This window comes from Homo sapiens, chromosome 13, assembly GCF_000001405.40.
Source record: "Homo sapiens chromosome 13, GRCh38.p14 Primary Assembly".
In the NCBI taxonomy this organism is placed as follows: Eukaryota; Metazoa; Chordata; class Mammalia; order Primates; family Hominidae; genus Homo; species Homo sapiens.
The window spans coordinates 99569289-99593096 of NC_000013.11; the positions used below are offsets into that span (position 1 = coordinate 99569289).

Below are 23808 nucleotides of genomic sequence, written 5' to 3' on the forward strand. Positions count from 1 at the left end.
GTCTTTACACAATCCTGCGTGCAACTTTGTATTTACAATAATCAGGAGCATTTCATCTTTTATTCCATAGCAATAGTTTCAGGGGGTCTTCCTACAGAACTCAGTGTCTAGGGTCTGGGGTGGCACTCCTCTGGCCAGGGCTCCCACACCTGACAGACAAAGCCTGGAGATTAACAAGGCTACAAGGGTATTGGCGCCATGACAAGGCCTCTGCAAGCAAATGGAGAATTATACCCCATAGAGGATAAAGGGTTTTTTCCTGGGCTTGGTTTGTGTTCTGTAATCAGATCATTGTTTTATTTGAGAAGTCTTGCTTTTGATATAACCAAAACTGCTCAGGAAAAAAAAAAAAAAAAAAAGCAGGGTTGGTGGGGTGGATGCAATGGCTCATGCCTGTAATCCTAGCACTTTGGGAGGCTGAGGTAGGAGGATTGATTGCTTGAGTCCAAGAGTTCGAGACCATCCTGGGCAACAAAATGAGACCCCCATCTCTACAAAAAAAAAAAAAAAAAATTGGCATGGTTGCACGTGCCTGTGGTCCCAGCTACACAGGAGTCTGAGACAGGAGGATCACTTGAACCCAGGAAGTTAAGGCTGCAGTGAGCCATGATTGTACCACTGTACTCCAACCTGGGCAACAGAGTGAGACCCTGCCTCCAAAAAAAAAAAAAAAAAAGCTCAGCTGTTGGGAAAGGTTTTTTAAACCTTTTAAAACCCTCAGAAAGAAAGGTCTCTCCCTATGAATAGCAGGACATTCTGGGGCTTCATTAATATGTAAATATATGTCATTAAGAAAATGTTTTTTCTGGCTGGGCACAGTGGCTCATGCCTGTAATCCTAGCACTTTGGGAGGCTGAGCTGGGTGGATCACGAGGTCAGGAGTTCAAGACCAGCCTGGCCAGTACGGTGAAACCCCATCTCTATTAAAAAGTACAAAAATTAGCTGGGTATGGTGGTGCATGCCTGTAGTCCCAGCTACTCAGGAGGCTGAGACAGGAGAATCGCTTGAACCCAGGAGGCAGAGGTTGCAGTGAGCTGAGATCGCGCCACTGCACTCCAGCCTGAGTAACGATACGAGACTCCAAGACTCCGTCTCAAAAAAAAAAAAGTTTTTTCATATTTGTATTTTGTGTTCTATAGCCCAAGTAGATGGTGACCATAATTTCTCTGCCTACAAGGTTCTATATGTAGAAAATCATGCTTTTCTTTCTCAGATATTTTGATGGAACCAAACCTGTTTCCTATGACTGATTTGTTCTCTCCTTTACTATGTAATTTGAAGTCTAAACACTAAAAATCACTGTTTCTTCACATTCTCTTGCTTTTGGAATTCCACTGGAATTTTTTTTTTTTTTTTTTTGAGATGGAGTCTCGATCTGTCGCCTGGGCTGGAGTGCAGTGGTGCGATCTCGGCTCACTGCGAGCTCCGCCTCCTGGGTTCACGCCATTCTCCTGCCTCAGCCTCCCAAGTAGCTGGGACTACAGGCGAGCGCCACCATGCCTAAATAATTTTTGTATTTTTAGTAGAGATGAGGTTTCACCATGTTAGCCAGGATGGTCCTGATCTCCTGACCTCGTGATCCACCCACCTCAGCCTCCCAAAGTGCTGGGATTACAGGCGTGAGCCACCGCACCCGGCCTCCACTGGATTTCTTCACCTCACTCTCTTGAACTTCATATACACATGCTCAAATTTGATTCTTTTTTCCCTTTTATTTTTTGACCTAATGATTATTTGACATTCTCATTAATAATGAATTCTTTGGCTGGGCACGGTGGCTTACACCCGTAATTCCAGCACTTTGGGAGGTTGAGGCGAGTGGATCACCTGAGGTCAGGAATTTGAGACCAGCCTGGCCCACATGGTGAAACCCTGTCTCTATTAAAAATACAAAAACTAGCCGGGCATGTTGGTGGGTTCCTGTAATCCCGGCTACTTGGAAGGCTGAGGAAAGAGAATCTCTTGAACCCAGGAGGCAGAGGTTGCAATGAGCCAGGATCGCGCCACTGCACTCCAGCCTGGATGACAGAGCGAAACTCCATCTCAAAAAATAAATAAATAAATAATATAATTAATTCCTTTATTTAGTGAAGAAGAAAGCATGGCTCTAAAAAGTCCTGTTAATTCCTTCGGATATTTTTAGCCAAAAGTGGTCTAGGCCACGTGAGTGGTGTTGACCATGATAAATAAATAGCACTATAATAGGTCACAGGTCATTAATTTCTCTGAAAAGAGTTAAATATGAGATATAAGTTGGAAATGATATATTTAAGGATTAGAGTCCACTTTTTAAAAGGTTTTTACTGATAGCTTACAATTAATGACATTGTATACATTCAAATTTAAATCAGGTTTTAAAAATACGCTAAATGTTTTAGGGTTAGCATTATTATCAAAGAAAATCATAGGCTGTCCAGGTCAGAGAGAACAAGGCTCCTCTGGCTCATGCTAAAGCCAGACAAATTGTGCCACAGTTGACTAGGACCATTTCATAGACAGTGGTGAACCGAGGCAGTGACTCTGTTGACTGGGAACGGCTCATAGCCCGCTCTAAGCTGATACGAGCCACACTGGCATGAGCCACACTGCAGGGCACTCCTGCTGGCTTCCTGCTTCAGCAGTGCCAAGGGAAAGGAGCTGGGGACTTAGAACTCATCCCAAGACACAGCCACGGGGCCACAGCCACACTACAGGTCCCCTCGCAGGTGGCCACCACCGCCAGGACCCAGAGCCACCTTCCAGACTTGCCACTACTCTGCCCTGGATGATGTGACTTGGAAGAACTTTGCCAGCCCCTTGAGGAGAGGAGACATGCTGACACACTGATGATGCCACAGAATTGAAGTGGCAGAATCTTCTTCTGGACATCAGTAACCCAGATGGGAAGGACTGGGAACACCTGGGTGTAATGGATTCACTTCATGCTGGAGAAATGTGAGTTGGTTGTTGCTGGAATTGCACAAAGTATCCCCAGCAAAAATCCCTTCCTACTCTGGCAAACGTGCTGGCAGACAGTGACGACTTGATGCAGCAATGCGTGTCTGGGTTAGCTTTCGTCATCCCAGAGCCATCCACCCCCTTCGTCAACCTCCTGCCCAATATATCTGTGGTGCGTGTACGTGAATGGGCACTCGTGTGTGTGTGAGAGAGGGAGTATGTGTGTGTAAAGTGCAAGAGGAGGTGGCATGAAGGGACACAGGCTGTAGTGTCAGCTGAGGGTGTGTTTCACTCCAGCTCTAGGACCCCTGAGCATCTCAGTATAGAGCCCCGGGCCAGAGTAATGTGTCCCCATCCTCTGCACTCTGCACTCCTAATACTTCAGAACACTGACGTTTGCCAGCTCTCCTATCTCAAATATCATTCATATTATTGTCTACCTCTGCTGACCTGTCCTCCAAAATACATCACAAACTTCTCAAAAGCAGAAAGGGCCCCTTCTATTTGTCTCTGGCTCACACCCAGGGCATAACAGTACTTTGCACATAGGAGGCGCGTATTTACACATAGGAGGCGCGTATTTATTGACTGAAACTAGGAATTTAGATGAGAAGTGATACTGATTTTAAATCTCTCAATCATCGTTTAATAGGATGATTTAAAGACACCATTTCAATATTTTGTTTAGCTCTCAGGCTCTAGGACGTGCCATCTTGATTCCGTAAAATTATGTTTTTCACTGTGCGTCCACAACATCGCCTCGTACGCTTGTTCTACGTTCATTGACAGTTGTTAAAACAAATCAGCACCGGCAGAACTTGGCCCGCTCCTCTCCACACTTAGCTGAACCGTTACCCATGGAACCAGCCCAAACAGAAAGCTACAAAGAGGCTAATTGAAATCAGAATGCTGGGTCGCTTCTCATTCAAGCAAAACAGATGGCCCTCCTTGCCACACTTCTGTCAAACTTGAGGGGAAATGATTAAAAGCATTTTCAACTCCCACACACGCTGACTGGGCTCCTTAAAGGAATTATACATAGCTATTGAAATGTGGGGTCGGGGGGTTCTTTCAAAAAGCAAAGCTTGGTTTCCTTTCTTTTGAAGGTTTAAGGAAAGGCATTTTAATGGGGATATTCAGTGCCTAAGGCTTCAACTTAGATTCTGAATATTTTATTTATATTTATTTTAATTCAATTTTTCCTTTGGAATAGGTAAAATTCAAAATGCACAAAAGAATAAAGAAAAAACTAAGACTCTAGTCATGTCCCAAGCACCGAGGCCTCTCTCCTGGAGACAGCCACTGTTAACCATCCCCTAGGTATCTTTCCAGAAGTTGAACCTTCATTTTTTTTTTTTTTTTTTTTTTTTGAGATGGAGTTTCACTCTTGTTGCCCAGGCTGGAGTGCAATGGCGTGATCTCAGCTCACCGCGACCTCCACCTCCCGGGTTCAAGCGATTCTCCTGCCTCAGCCTCCCGAGTAGCTGGCATTACAGGCATGCACCAACACGCCCAGCTAATTTTGTATTTTTAGTAGAGATGGGGTGTCTCCCTGTTGGTCAGGCTGGTCTCAAACTCCCGACCTCAGGTGATCCGCCCATCTCGGCCTCCCAAAGTGCTGAGATTACAGGCATGAGCCACTGTGCCCAGCTGAACCTTCATTTTTAACTTAGGTCCTTGAAACTCTCTTATTTGGATTCCTATTTAATGACAGTATTAATGATATTTAGTTTCAAAACCGGTGTGGGGGCTTGTTTTTTGTTGTTGTTTTTTGAGACACGGTCTCACTCTGTCACCCAGGCTGGAGTGCAGTGGTGCCATCACAGCTCACTGCAGCTTCAACCTCCCAGGAACAAGTGATCCTCCTGCCTGAGCCTCCTGAGTAGCTGGGACTACGGGCTTGCACCACCACACCTGGCTAATTTTTAAAATTTTCTGTAGAGATGGGATCTCCCTATGTTGTCCAGGCTAGTCTTGAACTCCTGGACTCAAGCAATCTGCCCACCTCAGCCTCCCGAGTAGCTGGGACTACAGGCCTGTACCACCACACCTGGCTATTTTTTTTTTTTTTTTAATAGAGACTGAGTCTCACTATGTTGCCCAGGCTGGTTTTGAAATCCTGGCCTCAAGTGATCCTCCTGCCTCGGCCTCCCAAAGTGCTGGGGATTACAGGTGTGAGCCACCGTGCCCAGCCTGGTGTGTGGGTTTTTTAGAGGCAGCAGTGGATATTGTGTTCTTATCATGTAAAGGATGTTCAGCACATTAATACAAAGCATTGCAGACAGTGTTACTGCATGACGCCTCTGTGATACTTATTAAACATGTACAGCAGCATAAGCCACCTCTTAGGACCTGCTGGGGGAAAGAAATGAGTGTATACAGAAATGTGAAGAGGAAACCATTGCTCCGTATCTCAACCACCCAGTCAGTACATAATGACAATGTCTCTAATAAATGCGTTGTCAGAGCCCAACTAATCAAAGCATCATCTAATTTCGCCCATTGCTACCCAGAAATGTGGGCCCCTTATTAATGATCTCTGAAAAGCAATGTAAAAACAACCCGGGAGGCCAGGCGCAGTGGCTCACGCCTGTAGTCCCAGCAGTTTGGGAGGCCGAGGCGGGCGGATCACCTGAGGTCGGGAGTTTGAGACCAGCCTGACCAACATGGAGAAACCCTGTCTCTACTAAAAATACACAATTAGACAGGCGTGGTGGTACATGCCTGTAATCCCAGCTACTCAGGAGACTGAGGCAGGAGAATTGCTTGAACCCGGGAGGCAGAGGTTGCAGTGAGCCGAGATCGTGCCATTGCACTCCAGCCTGGGCAAGAAGAGCGAAACTCCGTCTAAAAAAACAAAACAAAACACGTGTCTGGCTGTGACGTACAGGTGCCCGTCTGTATGCACGCGGGCCTTCCGGTTCTGCTCCCGAGAGGGACGCTGTCCTGGAGCTTCCTCCCCCAGCCCCCAGTCTCATCTGAAAAACATCGTTTCGGGAGAAGTCAGTCACCCTGTGGTTTATTTCCACCCCAGTGTGAATTTTTTTTTTCTTTTCAAACTCTATCAATCAGGGCAGTTTTTTAAACCATGTGAGTAACAGTGGAACGAGAAGCTTCTTTTTATATTAAAAACAAAAAATCAGAAAATGAGTGTGGACAGGTGGGGAGGACAGGTCCTTCTCAGCACACTCAATGTAGCTCCCTGGAGGGGGCTGTGTCCTCCACTCACCGGGAAGCAGGGCGATGTCTCATTGGCTGGCTCTGGCGCAGCCAGCCTGGGCTGGTTTGAAGTCAACGCCCTTTTGTTGGGTTGGGGTTAGGGATAGGGTTAGGAATCTCCCCAACCTGTGCTCAGGTAGGGCGGGGCCGAGCGCATCCGCGCCTCAGGTGCATCCCATGCAGGCTCCAGGTTCCAGCAATGCCCCTACAACATCCTCCTGTGTCCCCAGGATGGCCCCGGGAGGCAAAGGCGCCTCCTCATGCTGGCTCAAGGGCGGCATTGGTGGAGGCTGCTCTGGGGAGGGGCCCAACCTGGCACCCCAGCGCCCAGGGGTTGCCTCGCCCTGTTTTCCTGGGCAATCCTGGTCCAGGTTATTACGGTCACATAGAAACGGAAGGAGATGCAGCCTATTTTCAAAGCGCTGAAGAATCTGTGAAATCTGCTTTTATCCCTTCTTACATTTACATTCAGATATTTCATCTTTAGGTTGCTATAGTGACATGTGAATAAATATATGTGAAGTTCTGTGGGCAAGGAACAAGCGGTGGAAAGGGAATTGGGTAGAGATGCCACTTACAATAAGCCTGGACTACCTGTGACCTTCATCATTTTCTAGTCACACAGACACAGTGGTTTGGCATTGGCAATATTTATGTTGATTTTACCAGATTTGCTATAATATTTAGATTTTCTATACATTATAAAGAGTAACATATTTTTCTTTATTTTCCCCAATCATAATGGGACCATATGGGCAGGACAGAAATTGTTAGAGGGCGTGACTCACTGGCAGAGAGGAGAGTGTCTCCCCCTAATCTTGCTCCCAGGCAGCTCAGCAGGAGTAGTTCATTTTGAGGGTGCAAGTTGCTGATTGGGGGAGGGGGAGCCTAAATCCCTTCCAATCAGAGGAAAGGATGGTTTTACTGTGGAAATCAGTTTGGAGGTTGACCTCATAGACTGGGAGCTGCTGGTTGAGAAGCCCACCTCCACTGGTTTGCTGCTGAGCGTTTGAAAACACCAATCAAACACAGGAGAGGACGCAGCAGTTGAAGGGTGACCTAAGACAAAGTGTGGGGAGGCCAACGGAGGGCAGTGAACTGGTCTCCTTTATGAAGTCATCTGCCTGACTCCCTGCCATCGTGCCTCTTGCTCTCTGAAAAAGCCAAGTGGCCTCTTTTTTTTTCTTCGGACTCTCGCTCTGTTGCCCAGGCTGGAGTGGAGTGGCCTGATCTCCGCTCACTGCAACCTCTGCCTCCCGGGTTCAAGCGATTCTCCTGCCTCAGCTGCCTGAGTTAGCTGGGATTACAGGCACCCATCACCACACCCGGCTAATTTTTTTTGTATTTTTAGTAGAGACGGGGTTTCATCATCTTGGCCAGGCTGGTCTTGATCTCCTGACCTCAGGTGATCCGCCTGCCTCGGCCTCCCAAAGTGCTAAAATTACAGGCGTGAGCCACCGCGCCCAGCTGAAAAAGCCAAGTGGCCTCTTGATTGAAGCGGGCAGAGCTCAAGGCAAGGCCCTCAGTTCCTATGACTTGTTTTCTGGTCTGCACTGGGTGGAACAGGAAGCCAACAGTACTATTGTCTGTGAATGCCCCAGAAGCCCCTAAGGGCAAAGGTTCCCAGTGGATGGGATGCCATGGGGGACATTCCAGAACTCTCTGTGGGCGGTTTGAGACCAGCCTGGGCAATATAGCAACCGTCCTGCTGGCACACAAACCCTCCTGCCTCTAAACAGAATTTGATGGGCCCCTTGGCAAAGGCAGGTTTTAGAAACTCCTCGGGGGCTGGAGCGCAAGGAGAGTCTGAGCCAGGCCAAGCCTCCCTGGGGGAACATGGCTGAAGGAAGACCTACAGACATCTCCCCTGGGTGGGAGCCTGTGTTCAGAAGCAGCAGATCCAAGTCTCTGTGTGGCTGAGGAGAGGACATCCTGCTGGCAACACGGTGCTGACCTGTGGGCCCACTGGCAGCATGACTTTGTAATTTCTTGGGCTTTCTGGAAGGTTCTGAGGTGTTGCTGCTGGGCTCAGGTGACCAGTTATTCTCCTAGGGAAGGATGGCCCAGCTCGTTGTCCTGTACACATAGAAACATAGGGTGGTCTGGGGAGTAAATGCAACATCCCCACTTTCTCCCTGCCTTATCTTTCTCGCCTTCCCATTCCCCAGAGAAAGATCCAGGTGCAGAAGGACCCAGAACTCCACAATTGTTACATAATCAAAGCACATTACTCTAAAGGAGACCAGGACCCAGCTCTCCTCCCTACCAACCCAACCCCAGCAAGTCATTTCTTTTTCTTTTTTTCTTTTTTCTTTTTTTAACAGACAATTTTAGGTTTATATGCAGTTATAAGAAATAATAGAGGCTGGGCACAGTCACTCATGCCTGTAATCCCAGCACTTTGAGAGGCTAAGGTGGGAGGATCACTTGAGGCTGAGAGTTTGAGACCAGTCTGGGCAATATAGCAAGACCCTGTCTCTACAAAAAATAAAATAATTAGCTGGACATGGTGGTGCGCACCTGTAGTCCCAGCTGCTCTGAAACCTGGGGTAAGAAGATTGCTTGAGCCCAGGAGTTAGAGGCTGCAGTGAGCTATGATTGCATCACTGCACTCCAGCCTGGGTGACAGAGCAAGATCTTGTAATCTTGTAAATACATAGAAAGAGCACATTCTGTGGCTGAGCCCAAGAACTATTATGCACAAGGAATAACTTGTTGGGACGAGCCATTACCACATTGGCAGGGTCGTCCCGGTCTCTGCTTGGGTATTTTTATCTGTAGGCCTATCAGTTAGTATGCTTTTGGAAAAATCTGGGATTTACTAGAGAAAAAGGTAAAGGTCTAGGGTCGATGTTAATTGTGTCCCCTCCAAAAAAAGATATGTTGAAGTCCTAACCTCCCAGTACCTCTGAACATGACATCATTTGGAAATAGGGTCTTTGTAGCTGTAATTAGCTAAGATGAGGTCATACTGGAGTGGAACAGATTCCTAATTCAAGATGACTGGTGTCCCTATAAAAATAGGAGAATGCCATATAACAGCTAAGACAGAGATCAGAGCCATGCAGCTGCAAGCCGAAGCAGGCCAAGGATTGCCAGCAAACCAAGAGAGGCTGGAAGAAGAGAGAAGGATCTTTCCCTGCTGATTTCACAGGGAGCATGGCCCTTGATCTCAGGACCTTGACCCCAGAACTGTGAGTGAATCAATCTGTTGTTAAGCCATACGGTGCCAGTATTTTGTACAGCAGCCCTCGGAAACTCATACAGCAGGCAACCAATAATGTCCCAAGTCTAGTAAGTAATGAAATACACTCTGACATGGGGATGGAATTGAAATAAAAATAACCATCTGAGGGAGCTCTAGAGCCTTCGCTTCCTGAGTCCTAATTTGACCGTAACCTAGAGGATGGGCAAATAATAGCTGTTTTCAGGACAGGACTCTTAACCTCCTTTCAGTGGTTTTGATTATTTTTAGTTTCTGTTCTATTGATATTTGGATTCTGAGCACAGATGCCTTTACTGCACTGAGTGCCTTTGACCTGAGCTGGATTTTAGCTGGAAGTGCAGGATTCTGAGTGAGACAACACTGAATGCTGAATGACCCCTTAACCAAGGCAGGCCGTTCTCCTAGTCGGGGCCAGGTTCTGGGGACAGTGTGACAAGAGCTTGAATGAAGACAACTCGCCCTCCCTGCCTGCAAAATTTAACAATGAGACAGGAATCCTTATTTTGTATTTTTTCAGGGGGCAGGAAGCTGCAAAATCTGCTGTCCTCTGCAAATCACTATCTGGACCAACAACACAGAAGTTCCCTCAACCTCTGAGGGAACCTCTGCCGCACCTCTGAGCTCTTTGGCTTTTGTAGACGTTCACTTCTCGGAATTCTGCTGACTCTGTGGGTCCCCAGGCATCACCTGAGAACTGGTTAGAAACTCAAAGTCTCAGGCCCTCCCCAGACCTGAATTCGCTCTGTAGGTGGGGACAACAATCTGGGTTTTGAGAAGCCATGGGGTGATTCTGATGCCCACTCACACCCTGTTTTACTTCTGTGTTTACTCTGCACTACAGAAACGAGGAGCCCACGGATGCTTGAGCATCAAAGCTTCAATCACTGCTGCCCGCGGCTCTGCACTGTCTTAATTCTTCCCTGCTTTTTCATTATGTCCCGTCTGGCTCATTCCTCCTTTATCCCCCTGTTTGTATGTGTGTATACATGCATTCATTCATTCATTCATCCATGTATTCATTCAGCAGACTCTAGAAAAGGATATCTTATAGTCACTATGGTGGATGTCTAGGTGGGTCTGCAGCTCTGAAGTTGTGTTGGTTAAGCTCCAAGGAGCAAAGAAAGCTTTTTCAGATGACAGCATGTATTGTAGCGAAATGACGGCTATGAGCATCTTTTAATTACAATTGGGGGTGGGGGAGTGAATATATATGTATTTCTGTGAAAGAGGGAAACGAAGCAATGAAAAGTAAGAGACAGGAAATTGTCCCAACGCCTTGGCTCCATGGGGCCTCAGGGTGCCCTCCATGACGAGCAGTGACTCCCAGCAGCTCCGGCACAGTATCAGGCATCCTTTGCCACTGGCTCTAGGAACCCCTGCACATGCGTGTCTCAGCTTCTAATGTGACTATTTCTGCTTCTCCTCAATGTTGCTGCTTACCCCTAGGTTTGGTTGCCACGAGGAAGCTATGTCCTGGATTTTCTTTTTTTCTTTCAGTTCTGGCTGCCAATACCAAGTTCCTCCTCTCCATCTCACATTCAAAGAGCACACAGAGAGGCTCTAATTGGGTCTTTCTACATCCTGTGTCCGTACAGAGCTCTCGCGTTTGGGTGGGGACTTTGCACCGTGACCAGTCTAAGATCAGCACCAGCCCCTGGTCCAATCAGCTGTGGCCAAGACCCTTGAAGACACAGGCAAGAGGCTCCTGACAGTTGTGTGGTTCACAGGGGTTTCTGGGTGTGATAGGGGCTCAGGCAACATCGGCCCCCAATCTGGGTGAGAAGAGAGGTCTGGAAAGAAGTTACAACTTTGAATAAGTGGTGGTACATAATGCCTCAAGTGTGGTAACATTGCTCAGAGAAAGTGAGTTGAGACAGTGGAAAAGTGGAGCCCCTAGTATCACCAGCTTAACCCACGGGGTAGATGAAGGTCATTAGGAGAATAGAGCAACTAACCTTTATTGAGCACCTACGATGTGCCAGGCTGTATGTCTTGGTGCTTTACATAAATTAATTATTTATTTATTTATTTATTTATTTATTTATTTATTTATGTTTGAGACAGGGTCTCACTCTCACCCAAGCTGGAGTGCAGTGGTGCAATGAATGCTCACTGCAGCCTCGACCTCCTGGGCTCGAGTGATCCTCCCACCTCAGTTCCCGAGTAGCTGGAACTACAGGCTGTACCACCACACCCAGCTAAGGTTTTCTATTTTTTGTAGAGATGGGGTCTTGCTATGTTGTCCAGGCTGGTCTCAAACCCCTGGTATCAAGCAATCCTTCCGGCTTGGCCTCCCAAAGTGCTGGGATCACAGGCATGAGCTACCACACCCAGCCTATTTGTTCTTCAAACAACACTGCAAGCTACCTATTGTTGTTATCCCAAATTTGCAAATGAGAAGGCCGACCAAGCTCACAGAGATCAAGGTCATATCACTTGTAAAGGGCAGAGCTGGGATTTCAATAGCTTTGTCCAACTTCAATAGCTTTGTCTAATCTCTAATAGCTTTTTACTCTTCCTACTGTATATGAACCATATTGGCCTCAAAAGAAATGGTCTGAAACACAATGAGGAAATCAGGGAGAAGAATGTTTTCAGAAGGAGGTGATTAAGAGAGGAAAGTCCTGTCAGGTGCCTCTTTGGGCAATTAGGAATTTATCAATGAAATGTCTATTTCAATTGGGAGAGTCAGATTGTGATGAATTGAGAAGATGAGGCAAAGGAGAGTGAATGTCAGCTGTGAAGGGTAAGAAAGACAGGAAAGGTTTGTTTTGTGTTGTTGTTTGTTGTTTTACTGTAAGGATGGTGTAGCAGCCAGGGCCCAGTCAGGAGACAGAAAGCACACCAGTAATGCGAACAGGGAGCATTTAATGTAAAGAGTTCTTAAATTAGTAAAAAGGGAATTAACTACCATATTCGGGTTATCCAGAGAAACAGAACCAATAGGATATATCTATCCATTATATATATCATCTATGTATCTATTAAGCGGTATCTGTATATATAGATATATAACATATAGACACATATTACAATACTAGTGTTATATGTAGATACAGAAAGAGATTTATTATAAGGAATTGGCTCACGAGAGTATGGAGACTGGCAAGTCCCAATCTGGTGGCCCAGGAAGGGTGATGGTGTAGTGCCAGTCCAAAGGCTGGCAGTCTCAAGAACCAGGAAGAGCCAATGTTTCAGTCTGAGTCCAAAGGCAGGAAGAATTCCCACTTACTTGGGCCAGGGTCAACCTTTTTGTTCTATCCGGGGCTCCAATGGATTGGGTGAGGCCCATCCACATTGGGAAGTGTGGTCTGCTTTGCTCAGTCCACCAATTCAAAGGTGCATCTCCTCCAGAAACGCCCCCACAGACACACCGGAAAAATATGTGATAAAATATCTGGACATCCTGTGGCTCGGTTAAGTTGACACATAAAATTAACCATCACCAACTAGTGTGCCTTCATGTCATTGGACACCTTGATGTCGCCATCAGAGATAGCCACACTGAAGGCCATGTTTCTGGAAGTGAAAGGGAGATGTTGAAGAGGGCCAGAGAAGATAAGAGCTGTTGCACCTGCTGCTGGAATCCTGTTTCGGTGTGTGTGTGTAAAAGGAGTAAAGAGAACCCTAACAAATACAGCAATAGATCAGGCATGGTGGCTCATGCCTGTAATCCCACCAATTTGGGAGGCCGGGGTGGACAGATCGCTTGAGCCCAGGAGTTTGAGACCAATCTGGGAAACATAGGGAGACACTGTCTCTACAAAAAATTAAAAATTTAGGCAGTCATGGTGGTGCACGCCCGTAGTCCCAGCTACTCAGGAGGGTAAGGTGGGAGCATCGCTTGAGCCTGGGAACTTAAAGCTGCAGTGAGCTGTGATTGTGCTACTGCACTCCAGCCTGGGTGACAGAGCAAGACCTTGTCTTAAACACACACACACACACACACACCCCAAAATAGAGGATTCCAGCAGCAGCTGCAACAGCTCTTATCTTCTCTGGCCCTCTTTGACATCTTCCTTTCACTTCCAGAAACATGGCCAGTGTGGCTATCTCTGATGGCAACATCAAGATGTCTAATGACATGAAGGCACACGAGTTGGTGACATCAGAGGAGGTGAAACAGTGCAAGAAGGTAGTGCTCTTCTGACATAATGAGGCCAAGAAGAATGTCACCCTGGAAGGGGCAAGGAGATCCTCGTAGGTGGTGCAGGCCAGACTGTTGATGGCCCTATGCCACCTTAGTCAAGATGCTGCCAGACAAGGACTGCTCCTCCACCCTCTATGACACAGCCTGAGACCAAGAACAGCAAGAAGGAAGATCTGGAGTTTATCTTCTGGGACCCTGAGTCTGTACCCTCTAAGAGCTAAGTGACCTATGCCAGCTCCAAGGATGTCATCAAGGGGAAGCTGATGGAGATCAAGCATGAATCACAAGGAGGTCAAGGGCCATAGCATCCTGGCAGAGAAGCTTGGAGGCAGCGCCATCATCTCCTGGAGGGCATGCCTTTGTGAACCCCCTCCAGCCCCCTGCCTGGAACATCTGGCAGCTCCTGACCTATCTGCAGAGAGTTGTCTGTCCCCTTCCTCCAAGACCAGAGGGGTTTGGGGGATCCCAGCAAGGGGAAGATAATCCCCTCACCCCAGTTACCAAGCAGCCCTCACCCCCAGGCCTTCCTCCTCCCTCCATCCCTGATGGTTCTGGCTTTCCCAGGCCACTTTTGACCTTCTAATTCCTCTTGGATTGAAACAGACAAAGTTCCCCTCACGCACCCTAGTTTGGGAGGAGCCTGTATTTTGTTTTTTGTTTGTTTGTTTGTTTGTTTTTTGAGACAGGGTCTCACTCTGTCGCCCAGACTGGAGTGCAGCGGCATGATCTCGGCTCACCACAACCTCCGCCTCCCAGGCTCAAGTGATTGTCCTGCCTCAGCCTCCCTAGTAGCTGGGATTACAGGCATCCACCACAACTGCCCGACTAATTTTTTTGTATTTTTGGTAGAGATGGGGTTCCACCATGTTGACCAGGCTGGCCTTGAGCTCCTGACCTCAAATGATCCACTCGCCTCAGCCTCCCAAAGTTCTGGGATTACAAGCATGAGTCACTGCACCCAGCCTAGCCTACATTTTTTTTTAACAACACCCATTTTTTTTTTTTTTTTTTGAGACAAAGTTTTGCTCTTGTTGCCCGGGCTGGAGTGCAATGGCGTGATCTTGGCTCACTGCAACCTCTGCCTCCCGGTTCAAGTGATTCTCCCGCCTCAGCCTCCCGAGTAGCTGAGATTACAGGCATTCGCCACCATGCCCCACTAATTTCGTATTTTTAGTAGAGACGGGGTTTCTCCATGTTGGTCAGGCTTATCTCGGCCTCAGGTGATCCACCCACCTCAGCCTCCTAAAGTACTGGGATTACAGGCATGAGCCACTGCACCTGGCCACCCCATGCTACCAACTTCTAATCACAATAACTGTTGACTCTGTGCTTGTGTGTTCCATTCTGTGTGTGAGTGGAATGTGGTAGAGGTGACCCTCCCTGGGCCGGCTGATTCCTCTCCCTTTTCACCTGGTCACCGCCACTCGTAGAAGCAGGACCAGTAAGGGACTTCAATTAGAAAACAAAACAAGACAGATTATAGGAATAGCAGATGTAGAGAAAAAACACTACCTCTAGGGCCGAGGCAAAATATTCAAGGAAGACAAGCTTGGACGAAGCCTCCCCTCCAAGGCTGAGATGCACATCGTTGATGAAAGATGTGGCCACTGGATGGGATAAGAGTTTGCTGAGGTGCTGCAGACCATGGCTGGCAAGCAGAAAACCACCTGCTGGGTGCTGGGGAAACTTTCCAGGAAGCCTCCTGTTGGGGTGACAGTGAACCTTCCAGGAGGGTTCACATCTCTGGGTCTCCCACTGGCCCCACCAGCTGCAGTATTGCAGGAGCAAGAGGAAAAACACTGGGACCAGGAAGAAAGCCTCTGCCACTTGCAATGTCCCTCAGTGGCTGGCTACTGACAAAACGTAACATCGTGGCAGGTGGCAAGGGAGGAACATTTACAGAGTCCATCTCTGATGTCACCAGCAGGGCCAGGAAGGGTTGATCTGGAGCTTGGAGGCCATACATCAGTAACTGGTTCAAATGGGACACTCCACAGTGGAAGAGCCAGTCCAACTAGATACATGACCTGTGAAAGTGCATGCATGGAGGCCATTATCTTAAGCCAATTAATGCAGGAACAGAAAACCAAACACCACATGCTCTCACCCATAAGTGGGAGCTAAACATTGGATACACATGGACACAAAGATAGAAACAACAGACCCCGGGAACTACTAGAGTGGGGAGAGAGGGAGGAGACCAAGGGCTGAAAAACTACCTGTTTGTTACTATGCTCTTTACCTGGGTAATGGGATCATTTGTAGCCCAAAGCCTCCATGTTGCTGGAAAGGACATGATTTCATATATATATATGTATGTGTGTATATATACATACATATATATATATACACATATATATATATATTTTTTTTTTGAGACGGAGTCTTGCTCTGTCACCCAGGCTCGAGTGCAGTGATGCTATCTCGGCGCACTGCAACCTCTGCCTCCCGGGTTCAAGCAATTCTCCTGCCTCATCCTCCCAAGTAGCTGGCATTACAGGCACATGTCACCACACCCAGCTAATTTCTTTTGTATTTTAATATAGACGGGGTTTCACCGTGTTGCCCAGGTTGGTCTCCCGAGCTCAGGCAATCCACCTGCCTTGATGGGCACCTAGGTTGGTTTCACGTCCTTGCTGTTGTGACTGGTGCTGCGATGTACATATGAGTGCATGTTTTTTTGGTAGAATGATTTGTTTTCCTTTGGGTACATACCCAGTAACGGGATTGCTGCATCGAATGGTAGTTGTGTTTTCAGTTCTTTGAGAAATCTCCCACATTTTGAATCACATGTTTTAATTTTCAGATATATGACAACCTCCCCACACAGCCTATATTTTTGCTTCATTATTCCTATTTTTATTTGTACATAAATTAGGTCACTTTCCTGCCCTGATCTACTGAAACTTCTAAATTTGCTACTTCCAAAGTCAATGCCAAATTCAGACTGGCTTTGGTCAGGGGAGGAAGTTAGGCAAGCCAGGATAAAAATTTAGTCTGGCCCAACAACCTCCTCAGGAATGCGGGTTTAGTCTTAGCTCCTCCATTCCCTGGGACAATTATACTTGATTTCAAGTCAGGTTTTCTTAATTCCCAGTCAGCTGCTGTCACACTAACTGTCATTTGTTCTTTTATAAACTAGAAGATTTGCAGATTAAAAAAAAAAAAGAAAAAGCGCACGCATGGCAGAGTTCCACTGACAACACTCTACGGAGAACTCTCAACTCTTCATCTCTAGCCCTGTCTGTTCACCCAAGCCTTTTTTTTTTTTTTTTTTGAGACGGAGTTTTGCTCTTGTTGCCCAGGCTGGAGTGCAATGGTGTGATCTCGGCTCACCGCAACCTCCGCCTCCCAGGTTCAAGCAATTCTCCCGCCTCAGCCTCCCGAGTAGCTGGGATTACAGACATGCGCCACCATGCCTGGCTAATTTTTTTTTTTGTATTTTTAGTAGAGACGGGGTTTCTCCATGTTGGTCAGGCTGGTCTCAAACTCCTGACCACCATGCCTGGCTAATTTTTTTATTTTATTTTTTATTTTATTTTTAGCAGAGACGGGGTTTCTCCAAGTTGGTCAGGCTGGTCTCGAACTCCTGACCACCATGCCTGGCTAAATTTCTTTTTTTTCTTTTTTTTTTTTTTGTATTTTTAGTAGAGACAGGATTTCTCCATGTTGGTCAGGCTGGTCTTGAACTCCTGACCTCAGGTGATCCGCCCACCTTGGCCTCCCAAAGTGCTGGGATTACAGGCGTGAGCCACTGCGCCCGGCCCACCCAAGTCTTATTACAGACTGGAAGCTGCTGCTTTTTCTGAAGATCCTCTAGTTCACAGCCAAATGTTTGGACCTCGGATTCACAGAATTAAGTTCGTTCCACTCTTATCGTCTGTATGTGGAAGGCCCTTCTCTTATTTTAATTGTTTCTTAGTTTCCAAAACCCCCTCCCACTTCTACTCTACTACCCCATCTCCTGTAATGTGTTCGGTGTATGCACTTGGACATGTACAGAATTCCGAAAAAGACCTAGCATTGTTTTGTGTATGTAGCATACACACATTTACATATACACAGTGTTGGGCTCTGGGTCTCATTCTGTGTCTGTCTTTTCTCATCCGCAGTATGTTTTTAATATCTAGCCATGTGGCTGTATGTGCCTCTTGTTCATTGCCTTAGCCCTCCCCAAGGAAGCACCAGTGACAGTTTATTTCTCCTCTCCTCCACTTCACCTTACGAGGCTGACTCTAAGGGCCCAGCTACCACAAACGGCCAGGATGCACATCCCTGTACACATTCTGCTGCAGACCTGGCTATTCGTTTCTCAGCGTTACACCCCGGGACGGCTGGGTCATGGGGCGTACACAGATGAATTTCACTGAGATCTGCTAGGCTGTTCCCCAGAAGACTACACAGTCTGCACTCCCATCTGTAGTGCATAATAATATCCATTTTCCTACCTCCTTGTCAACAATTGCTATCATCTGACTTTCTAATTTTTCCTGTGTCGTGGGTGTAAAGTGGCAGCTCATTGTTTTCTATAATTTGCATTTCTCTAATAGTGAGGTTGAGCATTTCTTCATATTTTTGCCCCATTTTTCTACTGGGGTCCAGACAATTTCTTTGTTTTCTAGATGATTTCCTTGTATATTCTAGATGAGGTATTGATAAAATTATCTGTAAGGGGTCCAGGTAGTAGATATTTTTTTAGGCTTTGCAGACCAGAAGTTCTCTGCTGCACCAACTCAGCTCTGCTATTTCAGCTCAAGAGCAGAGACAGTATATGATGAATGAGCATGGCTCTGTCCAACCAAACTTTTGTTTTGCTTATAAAAATAGGTGGAGGGGCCAGCCTTGGCCGGTAGGCCATGGTTCGCTGTTCTCGACAAATCTGTCTCACTAGAAGTTCTTGCTGGATTCTGACATTACGGTTATCTTCCCCCACTCTGTCTATGGTGTCCTTTGTTGAGCAGAACAATGTAATTTTGATGGACTCAAATTCCTCAATTTTTTGCCTCATAGCTTGTGCCTTCTGAGTTGATGTCAGAAGTCCTTCTCAACCTCAAGATGACAAAATTATTGGGCATCTTTTTTCCTATTGGTTTTATATTTTACCTTCACAATTAGATTTTGGATTATCCAAAGCTGACCTTTGCATACGGTGTTTCTTTTTCTCCATAGAGTGAACCAGTTTTCCCAGCACCATCTAGTGAATAACCTGTCCTTCCCACACGGGTTTGTGCTGTTGCCTCTCATAAGTCAACAGATTTGCTTTTGAGCTTTTTACCCTGCTCCACTGGTTTACTTACTGGTTTCTCTGCCAACAGCACATTTTATTATCATTATTATGGCTTTGTAGTGTGTCTTCATATCTCACAGTGTGAACCTCTTCATGTCTCCTTTAAAAGGCCCATGAGTCCACATCTATTTCAATGATGCAGACTTCTTCATACCTTTTTGGCTGATATTTGGCTGTAAGTCATTTGCAGGAAGAAGGGAATATGAATTCAGGCAAGTTGTAAGTGGGCCATTCCCCACTGAATGTTGTTTAGCTTTTCTTTCTTTCTTTCTTCCTTCCTTCTTTCCTTCCTTCCTTCCTTCCTTCCTTCCTTCCTTTCTTTCTTTCTTTCCTTCCTTCCTTCCTTCCTTCTTTCTTTCTTTCTTTTCAGGGTCTCACTCTGCTGCCCAGGTTGGAGTGCAGTGGCATGATCATGGCTCGCTGCAGCCTCAACCTTCCTAGGCTTAGGTGATCCTCCTACCTCAGCCTCCCAAGCAGATGGGCCGCCAGGCATTCACCACCATGCCCAACTAATTTTTGTATTTTTCCATAGAGACAGGGTTTTGCCATATTTCCCAGGCTGGTCTCACACTCCTGAGCTCAAGTGATCCGCCTACCTCGGCCTCCCGTACTATTACTTGAATACCTGCTGAGTCAGGACTCTTGGTTTCAAGAGCCAAAAACCAAATTAAAATGCCCTTAATTAAAAAAATACACACATATTAGTTCAGGCAGCTGGGAAGTTCAATGAATGACACTATTTGATCAAAGAGTTCAAACAATATCAATAAGGGTCTCCCTCTCCTCTCTTTCTCCATTTCTCATCTTTGATTTTCTCTGTGTGAGCTTCATTCTCAGGCAATCTCTCTCCCCAGAGCAGCCTAGAAGATAATACTATCAGGCTTACCGTGATCTTACTACTCTTGATAGCAGAAGAAAAGACCCCTTTCTCACCAAACATTCATATCCATCTCCCCAAAATGGACTCTGATTGGCTGGTTGGGTCATGTGCCCATGCCTGGATCCGTCATGGTGGCACAGAAGTTGGTCATGTAAATTACAGACCCACCAACCAGCAGAGTGGCATTCTCAACAGGAAAGATGCTAAGAAGACCAAATGCCCACCGATGCCTACCTCACTACCCACCTACACAGTCCTCACAATCCTGAGGGCTGATACAGGGGTAGACACTGAGGCTTAGAGAGTTTAAGTTACTCAGAAAAGCCCCTCACCCTGTAAGATGTCAAGCCAGAATCAGCAGCCAGGTCTATTTGAAAACTACAGCCCTTTCCACTACACCACACTACCATTAGATTAAATTGTTGTCACTTCAAACCCGGGATGGCACAAACTAAACTTATTATTTTTCCTAAAATCATCTCCAAAGTTCAAATTCTCCAAAAGTTATCACCATTTCCTTCTTCTCCCAAGTGTGAAAATTTAGCCTTTTCCTTCTTTCTTGCAGCCAACCTTTTGTCTATCTCTTTCCTCTTCCCGTTCTTTCCCAAATCCACAATCTCCACACTTGTTTGTGGGTTCATTACCTGACATCTGGATCATGATCCTATCTGTTCCCTACTTCAGTCTATCCTATACATAGCCACATATTAAACTCCCTACAGTACAAGTGTTAAAAGAACTGGCCAGGTGCAGTGGCTCACTGCTGCAATCCCAGCACTTTGGGTGGCCAAAGCGGGTGGATCACTTGAGGTCAGGAATTCGAGACCAGCCTGGCCAACATGGCGAAACCCTGTCTCTACTAAAAATACCCATATTAGCTAGTTACGGTGGCATGTGCTTGTAATCCCAGCAACTTGGGAGGCAGAGGCTGGAGGATCGCTTGAACCTGGGAGGTGGAGGTTGCAGTGAGCTGAGATGGTGCCACTGCACTCCAGCCTGGGTGACAGAGTGAGACTCCATCTCAGAATAATAATAATAATATATTATTATATTTACTTGAAAGTATGTATTCATTTGTATTACCAAACAATGCAGCAATGTGGAGCATTCCAGAACTCAGGGGCTTAACACAATAGGTATTTACTACTGCTGATGCCTTCGTGAGTCTGCTGTAGTTTCGCTGACCTGGGCTGGGCTGGGCTGCAGGCTCCACAGCAGGCTGGGCAGCTGGGGCAGCTCTGTTTCACTGCAGGGCAACCTCCTCTCCATCACGGGTTCTGCTAGGATGTGCTCTTCTCACAGCGATGGCTGCAGGGCAAGAGGGCAAGGCTGCAGCTGGAGATGGCACACAGTCACTGGCAGAGCTCAAAGTTAAGGGACAAAAAAGGTATATTCTTCCCACAATGAGATCGTGACAAGGATGTGGAGGCAGACAAGAGGCAAGAATTGGAGCGTTCAATCCAATCCACCACAGGGAAAGTCAAGGCTGACCATTGTCTGGCCTCGCCACATCCATCCAACTCAAACCCCTCCCTTGGGGACTTCAGGTTGTCATGGATCTTGGGAATCTTACAGAAGCCGGGCAGGATTGGGCAGTTCCAGACAGTGAGCAATGTTCCAACAGTAGGCCCAGTTTCGCCTGGTCTCTGCTTTCCCACCACACGAGGAAGAGGGAGGGATTTTCTGGGCCCACTTGTTATTGGTAGTTTTTACAAAATAAGCAAATGTTAAACAATTTCTCCTCTAGCAAATAAACTGAGCCAGGGAGTCTCTTTGTGATTTTTTTTTTTTTTGGCTTTTTGGGGAAAAATATCTCTAGGAATTATTTTCTCTATAAACAATGGCAACAGTTTATTTTTGTTGGCTTGACTTGGATCCTCCCCCACTTCCTTTTTTTGGATTGAGAGGTTGGCTACAGAAATGAGAAAGAAATACTTTTTTATTCTTTTTTTGTGTGTGGTTTCTCTGGTTGGAAAATAAAAGCTCTGCATTCTTTCTGTATTCAGTGCACTTCAAAGTCATAAAAATTTGGATAAAGTACATCAGGGTTATGGGTGTTCTAGATTTCAGTCTTTTTATAACTTCCTCCTATTTCACATTCGTTTGACCTCAGGTTAAAGGAACGCTTTTGAAAAGTATAATGATTTGATCCTAGCAATGGATGTAGCAAAAATACTGGGGTCAATAAGTTGAATTAAAAGCCTTTTTATAAAGAAGAAGAAGAAAAAGAAGAAGCAAAAACTATATTTTGCAAACTTTAAGCTTAAGACTGCATGACAGTGGAAGAATTTCCCAGCTGTATTCTTATAAAGAATATATGCTGTGAAAATATTTTTCAAAGTTTACCAGAGCAAAAAAGTTTGAATTAAAGGAAACTAACTTCATAAACCTCTGAACTTATTTTCCCAGCTTACATAGGCACTTTCTGTAGATTGGTTTTTAGTATTTTTCCATATATATTTTGTTTCTTTTCTTTCCCACAAACATCTGAATATTCTCATGTGTATGGGTTTTACAGTATTACCTAAATATATGTTTCAGTGATTTATTGAGGGGAGAAAAGCAAGTTTCAAAACAGTATGTATATGTGATGTTACTTTTGCTAAGAACTATATATGCGTGTTTATCTATCTACCCATCACCTATCTTCCTAGAGATATATAAATGCACTAGAATAAAAATGCCCAAGACGGCTGGGCGCAGTCTGTAATCCCAGCACTTTGGAGGCCGAGGCGGGCAGATCACGAGGTCAGGAGATCGAGACCATCCTGGCTAACACGGTGAAACCCTGTCTCTACTAAAAAAAAAAAAAAAAAAATTAGCCGGGCGTGGTGGCGGGCACCTGTAGTCCCAGCTACTCAGGAGGCTGAGGCAGGAGAATCGCGTGAATCCAGGAGGCGGAGCTTGCAGTGAGCCAAGATCATGCCACTGCACTGCAGCCTGGGTGACAGAGCGAGACTCCGTCTCAAAAAAAAAAAAAAGAACACAAGACATGACTATAAGGAAGGCAGAATATGAAGTTACCTTCAGGTGTTGGTTTTGTTTGTTTGTTTGTTTGTTTGAGATGGAGTCTTGCTCTGTCGCCTAGGCTGGAGTGCAGTGGTATGATCACTCACTGCAGCCTCCGCCTCCCAGGTTCAAGCAATTCTCCTGCCTCAGCCTCCTGAGTAGCTGGGATTACAGGCATCTGCCACTCCACCCGGCTAATTTTTGTATTTTTAGTAGAGACAGGGTTTCAACATGTTGGCCAGGCTGGTCTTGAACTCCTGACCTTAGGTGATCCACACGCCTCTGCCTCCCAACATGCTGGGATTACAGGTGTGAGCCACTGCGCCCAGCCCCAGATGTTGTTTTAGTCCATTTTCTAGTGCTATACCAGAATAGCACAAACAAACATTAATTTATAAAGAAAATAAATGCATTCCTCACAGTTCTGGAGGCTGAGAAGTCCAAGAACATGGTGCTGGCATCTGGTGAGGGACTTTGTGCTGCATTCTAACATGGCAGAAGGGCAAGTGAGTGTGTGAGACTGAGAGGAAATGGGGGCTGAACTTCATCTTTTTTTTGAGATGGTGTCTTACTTACTCTGTCACCCAGTCCAGAGTCAGTGGTTCACTGCCCCTTGACCTCCCAGGCTCAGGTGATCCTCCCACCTCAGCCCCCGGATTAGCTGGGACTATTAAGCGTGTACCATCCTGCCTGGCTAATTTTTTAAAAAATTTCTGTAGAGACAAGGTCTCACTATGTTGCCCAGGCTGGTCTCGAATTCCTGAGCTCAAATGATCCTCCCGCTTTGGCCTCCCAAAGTGCTAGGATTACAGGCGTGAGCCACCATGCCTAGCTGAACTTCATCCTTTCATCAGGGGTCTACTCCTGCAATAACAAACCCACTCCTGTGATAATAGCATTAATCTGTGCCTGAAGGCAGAGACCTCATGACCTAATCATCTCCTAATGGTCCCACCTCTTAATACCATCACAATGGCAATGAAATTTCACTATGAGTTTTGAAGGGTGCATCCAAACCATAGCAGGTGTTAGCTTTCTCCCTATATACCTACTTATTTTTGCAAGTTCAATTTGTCTATAATAAACATATTATTACTTA

General features: G+C 46.2%; 1 long non-coding RNA gene and 1 pseudogene across 1 annotated transcript; both read left to right on the top strand.

Annotated features, from left to right (window-relative positions):
• The first annotated feature begins 7823 nt into the window (after positions 1 to 7823).
• LINC01039 (long intergenic non-protein coding RNA 1039) lies at positions 7824 to 16707 on the top strand. Its single transcript, NR_126390.1, has 4 exons — positions 7824 to 8103; positions 9182 to 9351; positions 10881 to 11077; positions 13416 to 16707. It is a non-coding gene; the product is annotated as a long intergenic non-protein coding RNA 1039 (long non-coding RNA).
• Positions 13420 to 13878, top strand: CFL1P8 (cofilin 1 pseudogene 8; annotated as a pseudogene).
• Positions 16708 to 23808: the final 7101 nt, after the last annotated feature.